A 14082-nucleotide genomic window follows, 5' to 3' on the forward strand; every position below is an offset into this window, starting at 1 on the left:
CACCTTCCTATTTCTACTCTCAAGACCTACAAATGCTGATTTCTTCATGACATTTCTTTATGGTAATGATGGAGAAATTTCTGGAGACAACTTGTCACAGAATTAAGTTGTCCAACTTACTCTCCCCATCGGGCTATTGTGAATTTCCTGGTTCCCGACCACCTGCCGGGTTCTGACCATTTACTTCCTTTCCTCTTTTGGAGCCGGTATCCTCCAGGTCCACATTGTTTGCCCTGAACTCCAATAACTACCTTCTTATTCTTCTTGCTTGCCCAATTGCTGGCCCAATGATTAGACTTACTTCTCATATCTATTTATACTCACTTCTGCTTACTTGTTGCTTAGTTTCTGACCTCACTGGCTCGTCTTGAACTTTGTTTATGCCTGTTTCTGAAAAAAGAAAAAGTCCTGATGACTGATTCCCTTACCTTGTCAAAATTCTCAACTCTGCTGAATTTCTGGCTTTTCCAGTTCCAAATTCTAGCCAATTTGTAATGCTTGGCTATCCTTTATCACAATCACAGCATTAAGAGTTGACTGTATTTTTCTATTATCGGTTTCATTTCTTATTTTATTCAACTAATTTGTTTTTTAAAAAGTACACATTTCTCAAATGCCTTCTTTCAATGTAAGCTATAGAAAGTCACTCTACTGTCAAACACAAAGTTTACCAAGCAAAATTGCTTTTCCCAATACAGTCTTGTTTATAGGACTTCAAGAACACTTCTACCTAAATAATCTATCACAAAGAATGAAGATTTAATCATTTTGATTTGGTCATAATAAGTTCTCTTTGGGCTGTTACTGATATAAATACATAACTTCTGTATTTGTGTTAACGTTTTGGAGGGTGGCCCTAGTCTAACTAAAAATCATGTTTTTAGTTCTTTGATTTTCTTACATATATATATATTTTTTTAAGACGCAATCGGGGCTCACTGCAACCTCCATCTCCCAGGTTCAAGTGATTCTCCTGCCTCAGCCTCTCGAGTAGCTTGGACTACAGGTGCACACCACCTTGCCCAGCTAATTTTTGTAGTTTTAGTAGGGACGGGGTTTCACCATATTGGCCAGGATGGTCTCCATCTCTTGACCTCATGATCCACCTGCCTTGGCCTCCCAAAGTGCTGGGATTACAGGCGTGAGCCACCATGCCCAACCTATATATTGTTTTAATGCTTGCTTTGCATACATGTTTACATTTAAATTTTGCATCACTTTCCAACAGTGATATAAATTCTCATTATCCTTAATCATTCCTTTTTGTGTCTCTAAAAATGAAGTGTTGGGCACTTAATATCCTCGTATTTTTCTTAGTTCTGTGTCTTAGACATTTCTTCCAGATTTTTAGAACCTTTTCCATTACTATTATAAATAGAAAAATACTAAGATGCCTCCCTCATTTAACTCTTTTGTTTTTAATCTCCAAGAATTCAAATGGTAAAACTAGGTATATTATATAAATGTGTATATATTCTTTGTTTTTTTTCGCATTGGACATTTATCGTTAAGTTTTTAAATATTAGGTATAGATAATTATCTGTATGTATGTATGTGTGTTTTTTTTATAATTCAAACAATACAGATATATATAGTGTAAAAAGTGAAAGATCCCTGTAATCATACCCCAGCATAACCAGGGTAAAAAGTTGTTATTTTTCCAAAGTGGTTCTTGCTGTGGGGACATACAAGGAAATAGAGGATACAGCATAGAGTGTCTGGACTTAGGGAACATATACATCTAGTGGTGCTGACAAGTGAAACAGCAAGAGAGAGAAGTCCAAAGAAAAACATAAAAATGTGACAGTGTAATACATGCTGTATCAATTCATCCTGAAGGAATTCAAGTTAATTGGAAAGAATATTATGAGAAAGATAAATCTGAAACTTAGCTTTGAGAAGGAGGCAACATAATGTTAGAAAGAGCCTGAGCTTTGATATAAGGATTCCAACTCCATTTCTGAAATTTATCAGCTGTGTGATCTTGGGCAAGTTCCTTAACTGCTCTGATTTTTTAGTTCCTGCCTGTATAAAATGAGGATAAACTTCTAAGGTTCTTGTGAGGTTGAAATTAATGTAGTTTTTCATGATAGATACTCAGTAAATGGGTGTTTAAATTCATTATTTACCCACATAATCTGCCACATTTGATATTGTCTTAATATTCTCTAGTGTGTATAAAAATAATATAATGTACTGAAAAATGTAGAAAACATAGTTATAATTTATACAGCCTCAAAGGGAATTTTTATATAATTATATAGCCTCAAAGGGAATTTTTAAATTTTATCCATATTCATCATTTAAAAGGAGATTTAAAAAATTTAAAGAATTTTGAAATAGTAAAGAAATTGAGATTTAGGCTCTATCGATGTGACATATATTAGTCAAACTAAAAAGTCAGATAACGTTTTTTATCTTATAGGATCCTTCAGTGTCTAAAAGATTGCCACACTTTGTTATGTTAGGGTCAAATCAATGACTATACAGGCACGGCAAGAAAACTAACAAGTGTTTCTGAGTAATGATTATGTTCTTCCCTGAAAACAAAGACAAGCAATTCTTTAAGAAAGCTTAAAACGGCCATTGAACTCTGAACCAAAGCCCAATAACGAATATCAAGCTACCTCCTCAACAAGAAATGTTATCCCAGCAGTGCAGCTGTGAGCTAATTAAACAGCCCAGATCGTTGTGCTAAACTTTAGTACTGCATTTACAGAATTAATTCAGAGGACATGTTATTAAACTCTGGGGTTTATCAGAAGAAGGCAGCCTCTTTTTTTTGAGCAGCATTTAAAAAATTAACATACTGGATAAGCTGCTTATTATAGATGGAGCCTATGACATCCTTCATGTACATGCAAAAACTAAGCAATGAATTTCTAAGCAAAATAATGAAGCTATTGCACTCTGAGACCAAAATGTAAAAATAGTACTTTAGATATCCTGAGAGCACTTTCAAAAAAAATTATATTCTATATGGTTATTTCTAAAGTCCTGAAAGACATACTGATGATGACTAATATGCTAGAATCTAGCATATATATATATATATATAATATATATGTGTGTGTGTGTGTGTGTGTGTGTGTGTGTGAGAGAGAGAGAGACAGAGAGAGAGAAATATGTAGCAATTCTATATTTAATTAACTTGGAAATCAGTCATAACTGGCATGTGTAAGACAAGAATATTTTAAATTATTGTGAAGTATAATACTTTCCCTCTTAATTAGTCTTAATAAAACTTGGACTTTAAAATTTATATCTAGAAATCTAAATCATAAACAAAATTCCTACTTTATTGTAAATGCTGATGGCTGTCATTATTTAAGTTATTATGCATAGGCAATAATGGTAGGAATAAGATATGGAGACATTTATGACTGGAAACTTTGTGGAGGGCATAAAATATGTTACATTATTTTAATTTTGTTGATGTAGTGGACTCAAGAAGATAAAACAAATCAGTGAATTCTTTACAATCCTAGTCACTCATCTTTAAAACAGGGAGAGCAACACTTATCTTACATTATTTTCAGTACTGCAACAAAATAAGATAGCAGTTTTTGAATAGTTCAATAATTCTAATACTTGTAAAGTAACAGATAAAAATAAGAGAGTCCTGAAATAAAGCAGCATACCTACAACCATCTGCTCTTTGACAAAGTAGAGAAAAACAAGCAACAGAGAAAAGATTCCCTATTCAATAAATGATACTGGCAACACAAAAAGAAAACTTAAGGCCAATATCCTTGATGAATATCAATGCAAAAATCTTCACCAAAATACTGGCAAACTAAATCCAGCAGCACATCAAAAAGTGTGTCTACCACAATCAAGTAGGCCTTATTTCTGGGATGTAAGTTTGGTTCAACATATGCAAATCAATAAATGTGATTCATCACATAAACATAAGACAAAAGCCACATGATCACCTCAATAGATGCTGAAAAGCTTTTTATAAAATTCAGCACCCATTTATGTTAAAAACTCTCAATAAACTACGTATGAAGGAACATACCTGAAAATAAAAAGAACCGTCTATGACAAACCCACATCTAACATCATACTGCATGGGCAAAAGCTGGAAATGTTCCATTGAAAACTGGCACAAGACAAGGATGCCCTCTCTCACCACTCCTATTCAACACAGTTTTGAAAGTCCTGGCCAGAGCAATCAGTCAAGAGAAAGAAATAAATGGCATCCAAAAAGGAAAAGAAGTCAAACTATTTTTATTTCCAGCTGACATAATTCTGTATCTAGAAAACTCCATAGTCTCAGCTCAAAAGCTACTTAAGCTGATAAACAACTTCAGTGAAATCTCAGGATACAAAATCAATGTACAAAAGTCACTAGCATTCCTATACACCAGCAACAGTCAAGCTGAAAGCCAAATCAGGAACACAATCTCATTCACAATTGTCACAAAAAGAATAAAATACCTAGGAATACAGCTAACAGGGAGGTGAAAGATCTCTGCAAGGAGAACTAGAAAACATTGCTCAAAGATTGATTCAGAGATGACACAGACAAATGGAAAAATATTCCATACTCATGGATAGAAAGAATGCATATCATTAAAATGGCCATACTGCCCAAAGCAATTTATAGATTCAGTGCTATTACTATCAAACTACTAATGATAGTCTTCACAGAACCAGAAAAATCTATTTTAGAATTCATATGGAACCAAAATAGAGCTCAAATAGCAAAGGCAATTCTAAGCAAAAGGAAGAAAACTGGAAGCATTATGCTACCCAACTTCAAACTATACCACAGAGCTTCAGGAACCAAAACAGCATGGTACAGATACAAAAACAGGCCCACAGACAAATGAAATGGAATAGAGAGCCCAGACAGAAGGCTGCACACTTACCACCCATCTAATCTTTGACAACACTGACAAAAACAGGCAATGGGGAAAAGACTCAGGACTCCTTATTCAATAAAGGGTACTGGGAGAACTGGCTAGCTATATGCAGAAGATTGAAACTGGACCCCTTCCTTACATCATATACAAAGACCAACTCAAGAAGGATTAAAGACTTAAATGTAAAACCCCAAGCTACAAAATCCCTGGAGGACAACCTGGGCAATACCATTCTGGACATAGGAAATGGCAAAGATTTCATGATGAAGATTTCCAAAGCAGTTGCGAAAATTGACAAATGGGATCTAATTGAACTAAAGAGCTTCTGCACAGCAAAAGAAACTATCAACAAAGTAAACAATCGACCTATAGTATGGGAGAAAATATTTGCAAACTACGCATCTGACAAAGGTCTAATATCCAGCATCTATAAATAACTTAAACTTACAAGAAAAAAACAAACATCTCCATTAAAAAGTGGGCAAAGGACTTAAATAGACACTTTCCAAAAGACATACATGCAGCCAACAATCATATTTTAAAAAGCTCAACATCATGGATCATTTGAGAAATGCAAATCAATCTATGGCCATACCACCCTGAACCTGACCAGTCTCGTCTCATCTCGGAAGCTAAGCAAGATCAGGCCTGGTTAGTACTTGGATGGGAGAAATGCCAATCAAAACCAAAATGAGATACCATCTCACACCAGTCAGAATGGCTACATTAAAAAGTCAAAAAATAACATGCTGGTGAGATTATGGAGAAAAACGAATGCTTATACACTGTTGGTGAGAGTGTAAGTTGGTTCAATTATTGTGGAAAACAGTGTGATGATTCCTCAAAGGCCTAAAAACAGAACTACCATTCAACCTAGCAATCCCATTACTGGATATATACCCAAAGGAATACAAATTATTCTACCATAAGGGCACATTCTCATGTATGTTCATTGCAGCATGATTCACAACAGCAAAGACATGGAATCAACTTAAATGCCATCAATAGTTGACTGGATAAAGACAATGTGGTACATATACACTATGGAATACTATCAAACCACAAAAAAAGAATGAGATCATGTCATTTGAGAGAACATGGATGGAGCTGGAGGCCATGTTTCTTAGCAAACTAATGCAGAAACAGAAAGCCAAATATTGCATGTTCTTACTTATAAGTAGAAGCCGAATGATGAGAGCACATGGACACATAGAGGAAAACAACAGACACTGGGGCCTACTGGAGGGTGGAGAGTGGGTGAAGGGAAAGGATCAGAAAAAATGACTAATGGGTACTAGGCTTAATACTTGTGTGACAAAATAATCTGTACAACAAACCCCTGTGACATGAGTTTACCTATGTAACAAACATGCACCTGTACCCCTGAACTTAAAATAAAAGTTAAAAAATAAAAACAACAAACCAACAAAACAAATATTATACTAAAAATAATTTTAAAATGGTGCTGGGATAACTGGCTAGCCACATGCAGAAGATTGAAACTGGATTCCTTCCTTACACCATGTACAAAAATCAACTCAAGATGGATTAAAGACTTCAACATAAAAACCTAAAACTGTAAAATCTCTAAAAGATAACCTGGGAAATATCTTTCTGGGCATAGGCCCTGGCAAAGATTTCATGAAAAAGACACCAAAAGCAATTGCAACAAAAACAAAAATTGACAAATGGGGCCTAATTAAACTAAAGAGCTTCTGTGCAGCAAAAGAAACTATCAATAGAGTAAACAGACAACCTATAGAATGGGAGAGAATATTTGCAAACTATGAATCCAATAATGGTCTAATATCCAGCATCTATAAGGAACTTAAGCAAATTAACAAGCAAAAAATGAAAAACCAAATTAAAAAGTGGGCAAAGTACATCAGTAGACATTTTTCGAAAGATGTACATGTGACCAACAAACATAGGAAAAAAAGCTCGTCATTAATCAATAGAGAAATGCAAATAAAAACCATAATGAGATACCTCTCTCCTCAGTTAGAATGGTATTGCTAAAAAGTAAAAAAATAACATATGCTAGCAAAGTTGAGGAGAAAGGGGGACGTTTGTACACTGTTGGTGGGAGTGTAAATTAGTTTAGCCATTGTGGAAAGCAGTTCGGTGATTTCTCAAAGAACATAGATCAGAACTACCATGCAACCCAGCAGTCCCATTTTGGGTATATACCCACAGGAATATAAATCATCCTGCTATAAAGGCACATGCACTCATACGTTCATAACAGCACTCTCCACAATAGCAAAGCCATAGCATCAACCTAAATGCCCATCAACTAGACTGGATAAAGAAAATGTGGTGTGTATGCACCATAGACTATTACACAGCCATAACAAAGAATGAGATCATGTCCTTTGTAGCAACATGGACAGAGCTGGAGGCAATTATCCTAAGCAAACTGATGCAGGAAGAGAAAACCAAATATCGTATGTTCTCACTTATAAATGGGCGCTAAACACTGAGTACACATGGACACAAAGAAAGGAAAAACAGATACCAGTGCCTACTTGAGGGTGGAGAGTGGGAGGAGGGAGAGGATCAGGAAAAATAACCAGTGGGTACTATGCTTATTACCTGGGTGATGAAATACTCTGTACACCAAACCCCCAGGACACACAATTTACCCATGTAACAAACCTGCACACGTACCCTTGAACCTAAAATAAAAGTTAAAAAAAGGTAACAAATGAAAATATTTCTGAAAAGCCAAAAGAAGCTTAGAAAAACACTTCATATAGACACACAAACCTCATATACAACACATGCTCCTACTGATAAATTTCATAGGTAAAAGAAAGTAAGCAGCGGGGTAATGTGAGAGAAATTTTTGACATATCTTCTTAAAAGTAATTTTTAGTTTTCATTTTGATTTATGAAAATTTTAAACTTACAGATAAGTATAGAAAATAATATCCCAGCCACCGTACCTACTTTTGAACTAGAGTGGCAAAGAAAATCTGATGGCAACCTTTTTAGCAGGGTTAACTCAGCTGACTTTAAACCAAAAAAAAAAAAAGCAAGTAGAGGCCGGGCGCGGTGGCTCATGCCTGTAATCCCAGCACTTTGGGAGGCCGAGACGGGGGGATCACGAGGTCAGGAGATGGAGACCATCCTGGCTAACACGGTGAAACCCTGTCTCTACTAAAAATACAAAAAATTAGCCCGGCGCGGTGGCGGGCGCCTGTAGTCCAGCTACTCCGAAGGCTGAGGCAGGAGAATGGCGTGAACCCAGGAGGCGGAGCTTGCAGTGAGCCGAGATCGTGCCACTGCACTCCAGCCTGGGCGACAGAGCGAGACTCCGTCTCAAACAAACAAACAAACAAACAAACAAACAAAAAAGCAAGTAGAGTACACGATATCTGCTCTTATCATTTCACATGGTTCTGTCTGAAAATCAGTTTCTAGTTGGGCCATCAAATCTGTCTTCGAAATAGGAGTACATACTTTGGTCAAGGAGTTGATTTGCTCTCTTAGAGCCTCCAAACTCCAAACTCCTTTCTAAATAATTCTAAGTAGGAAGGAAAGACTTTTTAAAGGATTGGTCTTTTAAAGCAAATTAAAAGACAACAAAGAGAAAGTTAATTAGCTTAGTAGATTTTTGTAGCAGTCTTAACATTTTGAGCCAAGACACAGAATTTTACAAATATCCACCCTAGCTCACCCAAACCAGACACTCCCTTGATAAGATGAAATGGTACACTCCTGCCTTTGTCCCCAAACCATTGCTGCAGCTGGTTGATCAGTGGTTGTCTTACTCAAGACACTGAGTACACATAGACACAAAGATGAGTACTCTTCTTTGTGATGAGGACACAAACGAGGCAAGTGGTTGTGGTGGTGAAGATAAAGGGAAATATTAAGGAGTTTGTCCCTATAGGATTCTGATATCAATTGCCACATTTAGGGTGATTCCTGGAAGAAGGTTTTGAGGCAAAGATTAGATAACTTGATAAAAACGTGATGTTAGCAATTTTTTTCGTGAAGAAGATAGTTTTGAGAGTAAGTGATGATAGTGGAAAGGCAGTGTGAAGCCATCATGGAGTCTTAAGCAGCAGGTGCTTGGATCAGATTTGTTTTTAAAAACGACTCTGACAGCATTATGAATTAATGGTAGCAGGGGGCAGGAATGACCCTCCAGCAAGGCCAGGCTATTTCAGTAATGCAAGTGGAACTGATGAAAACATAAACTAGGCAAGTGGTGGTGGGGGTGAAGGTGAGGAGAAATAAGAAGTTCGTCTTGATAGGATTCTGATATCAATTGAATCATCTAGACATGAGTAACCATCTAGACAGATTAAATGTCTTAAGACGTTACAGTTTAAAATGTGCATATACTTTTATTCATAAAAATTATAAGTACAATATATACAGAAAGATAACAAATATTTGAATATGGTATATATAACATTGGTAACAAGCAAGAAAATAATTGAGGCCAAAAATGGCCAATTTAATGAGTAAGACAGAAAAATAGAATTTCCCTTTAGGTGAAATTCTTGGAATATATATATATACATACACACAAACACACACATATATATATAACATATATATATATAACAAAGATATATATATGTAGTGTATTTAAAAGTTGTATAGATACAAAAATGTTTATCGTATATGCATATGATTTCTATAATCACTCTGTCTGAACCAAACCCTAAAGATTTAGGTAAAAATAGATCTTGCATATAAATCTCTCTCTATTAAGGCATTTAGTCCATCTGAGGCTAAAATTGTCACATTCAATCAATACCCATTAATGGTGATTGGAAGGAAACTGATCTGGAAAGGAGCCAAATGACAAAATCAGTTTCCAAAAAGAAACAGAGCGTTTATAATAAATACACAAAACACAACTCAGTAAGCATCAAAAATAATTGATGCCAAAAATGACCAATTCAGTGAGTAATATCTTACTCACTGATAGAAAATATCGAACTCTCATTTCCTTTGGGCCAAATTCTTAAAGCTATTTTTTGTGCCTTTCCATTTGCCCCTTGCTGACCTTTCTGTGTCATCTTTTGAATACTGAACACTCTCTCACTGCCCAGGCTCCCTCTTCCTGGTTTACCGTGGCCCCATTTTCCAACAGACCTAGAGTCTTCCTTTCCATGCTATAAGCCTAAAGTGGTAGGTGATAATGTGAATTTCAGATGCCTCAATCAGTGGGACACATATTTTTTAGTTAGAAAGCAGGCACCCCTTTGGGTGTGTCTCAAATCATAGAACATACAGGGAACTACCTACCTTTTTATGTGTAACACTTTCCTTCTAAAAAGACCAAATGGGACATTATATCTGAATTGCCATTCAATTCTTTTTCTTTATACAAACATTTATCTCTCTACTTGGCCCGTAAAAATAAAAAATAAAAAGTAAGAGGATGTGTAGCAATCGGCCCCTTCACATTCTTGCCAGGATGATGATTCAGGGCCCTAATAGGCACATGACTTTCAGGCTTTCCCCTGTGTCACTTTTCCACTGCATCTCATTTAGTGCATGTGCTAATCCCCAAAAATCCTAAGTGTAATAATTTGTGAAATTTTCTATGACTGTAAAGATGCATAAAGTTTTAATACCCTCCATGGACAAAAGTCCATTTTCTTTTTTTTTGTTTCCTTGTTTTTGCTGATAGTAACTTAATAAGCAAAGAGTAAACTGTTATCCCTTTAATTGATCTCCACTGGTTCATTCATAGGAGGCTTTTAGAAATGCACTTATTATATAATTAACAGAGATTTGTGACTCCTTTGTAAGTCGTTGGCCATAAAAGGCTTTGTTTAATAATCACAGTCATGTCTTCTGTTACTCTGTGTCAACAGCACAGTGTCACGCTCAGAGACTGCTTTCTTACAGTCTCAGCAATCTCTTTGGTCTTTTATGCCTCTCCTTAAGTTCTCTCAAGATCTGTTCTCTTCAAGATCCAGGTGCTTCTGCTGTTCTACTCAATTGTTAAAAGAAAGAAAGAGAGAGAGAGAGAGAAAGAAAGAAAGAAAGCATCATAATTTTTAAGAAGATTGGAATCACCAGGACTTGTTTTCTTACCCATTTCTCTCTTACTTCTATAATACTCATATTCTGTGGCTTTAGAGAAGTCCTCCTACTCTGAGATTAAAAACTCTAATTTGTAACTTAAGCCATTATAAAATGTATGCTAGAGGATAATTCTGGTTTTTAAATATGGTACTTATAAATACAGCATTATTAGAAGTCAAGAATGTTTCCAACTTCTGTGTTTGTCATATATTTGTCTAGGCCTCTATAGTAAACTGCTTTACCCTTGACCTCTAGCTACGTTTTCTCCTCCTTCTTCTAATTGCTCCAAGCTTTCTTCTTAGGTCATTGCAAGCTGTCCTACTTCTTCCCTGGTACACTTATGTTCTGTATACTTGGACTGCCTGCCTGTTCTCAGTTTATTTCTCATCCTTATTTGGAAAGTACAGAACTTGAGAATGGTAAACAAAATCGACATTCTTTGTTATTTGGTAGGCAAGTAGCTAATTTAAGAATTAAAATAGAAGTATAAATTATTATAAGAGTTATAAGTGGTTGAGTGCCAATTTTGTGCTTTTAGCTGTAGAAAAGAAAATCATTTTCTTACAAAACTGTGACTATACACTGTTGGTAATAAAATATTCATGCTAATCATGTTCATAAGATTGTAACAGAAATGCTGATATTCTAATATCTCCATTTCTCCCCCTATGGTACTTAGTAAACTATGGAACTAGATACTAGTCTAGAGCATTTTTTTCTTTCTCATATTATATTATAGGTCATTCTAATACTAATTGTAACTAAAAAGTAAGCATTTTCTAAAACTATTTCTATTACCAATGAAAAATTGTGTTGAATGCTAATACTAATTATTTGTCAATGGTAACCTTTTGTTAAAAGAATTAATTCTTTTGTTCATACTAGGCAGGACAGAAACTGAACTGGCAAGAGAGACAGATAAATCTAAATTTCTGTAGCACTTTTTTCTCTCAATATAAATATTTAATTATGTAATGAGAAATTCTTATGAAAAATTGTGACATACAATGGGATTGATTCTTTCTCTGTAAGTAGGGCACTAGTCATGTATCTGAGAAAGAAATTAAAACTTTTAAAGTATTTTTAAGTGATGGATCTATTCTAGGCACTTTAAAATATTCTCTTTAATTGTCACTGTACCCTACAAACTAGATATTATCATCCCTATTTCACAGATGAGTAATTAAGGTGAAATAACTTGCCCACAGCTGCACAGTTAATACTAGGAAGAGCCAGAGGTATGACACAAGGCTGATTCTAAAGCTCATGTCCTTTCCATCTTCTTAAAATAGGCCCCTCTGCTCATTCTTCAGGAGAAAATCAGCCTTGCGATATATTATAATACCTACCACGAGAGCCTTGTGGTTTGGTGGATAAGGATGTGGGATCTGAGGTTAAACTGAATTTGGAGCTCAATCCTGTCACTCACTGATTGTGTAATCTTGAACATTACTTGATGTCTCTGCGCTTCAATTTCGTCATCTGTAAAAATGGGGTGATAACAATAATATCCACTCAGTAGTGTGGTTTGTAAGGACTAAATGAGGGAATACACATAAAGTTCTCAATAAAGTGGTGAATACATAGTGTTCAATGGACATTTTCCAGGAGTTTGTTCTCCCTATAAAAGTTGGTCTTTTTGTGGGTAGAGAAAAGATGTATGGGTTGTAAATTCCTTTCTTCTTAGCCACTTATGTCTGGCTGATTTGGAAATCACTGCTTGTTTTAGATCCCTGCCAGATTTTACATGTTCATTTTTTTTTTCCTTTCATGCATCGTAGAAGATTAAAAATGCCCATAAATTCTTTGCTAATTCACCCTTTGAGAAGATTTTCCTTCTCTTGAATATATGCTAGACTTAGTGACTTACTTGATAAATAGAATATTGCAGAGTGGGACTTTTAAGGCTAAATAAAAGGAGTCTTGCATCTTTTGTCCACATCTCTTTGAATGCTTCTCTGGGAGTCCTCAAGCATCAAGTGAGAAGTCTGACTGCCTTGAAATGTTGCAGAGGCCATGTGTAGGCACTCTGGTCATCAGATCCAGCTAAGTCAAGTTTTCCAGTCATCCCTGCCAAAGTATCAGACATCCAAGGAAAGCTGTTTTGGACCCTCCAGACCAATCTGGATATCACTGAAGATGCTTAGTTGACAGAAGAATCTCCCAGCTGAGCCCTGCTTTAATTCCTGACCCCCAAAATTATGAGATATAATGAAATGGTTGTTGTTTTAAGCCACTACATTTTGGGGTAATTTGTTACACAGCACTGGATAACAGAAACATGCATTTATTTATTTTAAAAGAAACTCCTGTGCGAAAAACTCTTCTAGGTAGTGGGGAATGATGCATCTATGAACAACTTTAGCATGATCACTGATCTCATGAAGGTTACTGTCTTAGCCAGGGTTCTCCAGAGAAATAGAACCAACAAGATAAGTATATACAGGCATGTATATATAAAAGGAGATTTATTATAGGAATTGGTTCACATAGTTATGGAGGTCAAGAAGTCCAACAATCTGCTGTTTGCAAGCTGAGAAACAAAGAAAGCCAGTGGTGGAATTTAGTCAGAGGCCAAAGACCTGAGAATTGGGGTATGTGTGAGGGAATGAGCAGATAGTGTAAATCCCAGTCTGAGTCAGATATCTCAAGAACCGGGAACACCAGTGTCCAAGTGTAGGAGAAAATGGATGTCTTAGCTCAAACAGAGAAAGCAAATTCGCCCTTCCTTTGCCTTTTTATTCTATTCAGACCCTCAATAGATTGGATAATGCCCGTTCACATTGGGGAGAGTCATCTGCTGTACTCAGATCACCAGTTCAAATGCAAATATTGCTAATACCTACTATTTGAATTAAAATTCCTTTAAGATTCAGTAAATATATCTGATAAGAAAATATTTCTGGCTACTTGCTATTCCTTTCCTTTGAGCCAAAATGATCCTGTAGAATATGATCATTCATTCCCCTTACTCATCAGACTTAGCCCTAATTTTTTTTCTGTTCCCCCAATCAAATTCATCCTGCAACAATAAGAATTTTCCAGTATTTAGGATATTCAAAAGGATATATTGTTCACTTTAATGAAAAGACCAAAAAAGGAATGTCAAAAATATTTTTAACAGTAGTAGTGGCAAAGCCAGCATGGGTGC

At 35.8% G+C, this 14082-nt stretch overlaps 1 long non-coding RNA gene and 1 pseudogene across 1 annotated transcript in view; both read left to right on the plus strand.

Moving 5' to 3' along the window:
* Positions 1–14082, plus strand: part of LOC107984543 (uncharacterized) — a 104864-nt gene that overhangs the window by 9244 nt on the left and 81538 nt on the right. The gene's annotated exons all lie outside the window — the stretch shown is intronic.
* On the plus strand, positions 5456–5562 carry RNA5SP365 (RNA, 5S ribosomal pseudogene 365; annotated as a pseudogene).

Source organism: Homo sapiens, chromosome 12, assembly GCF_000001405.40.
Source record: "Homo sapiens chromosome 12, GRCh38.p14 Primary Assembly".
NCBI classification, from domain to species: domain Eukaryota; kingdom Metazoa; phylum Chordata; class Mammalia; order Primates; family Hominidae; genus Homo; species Homo sapiens.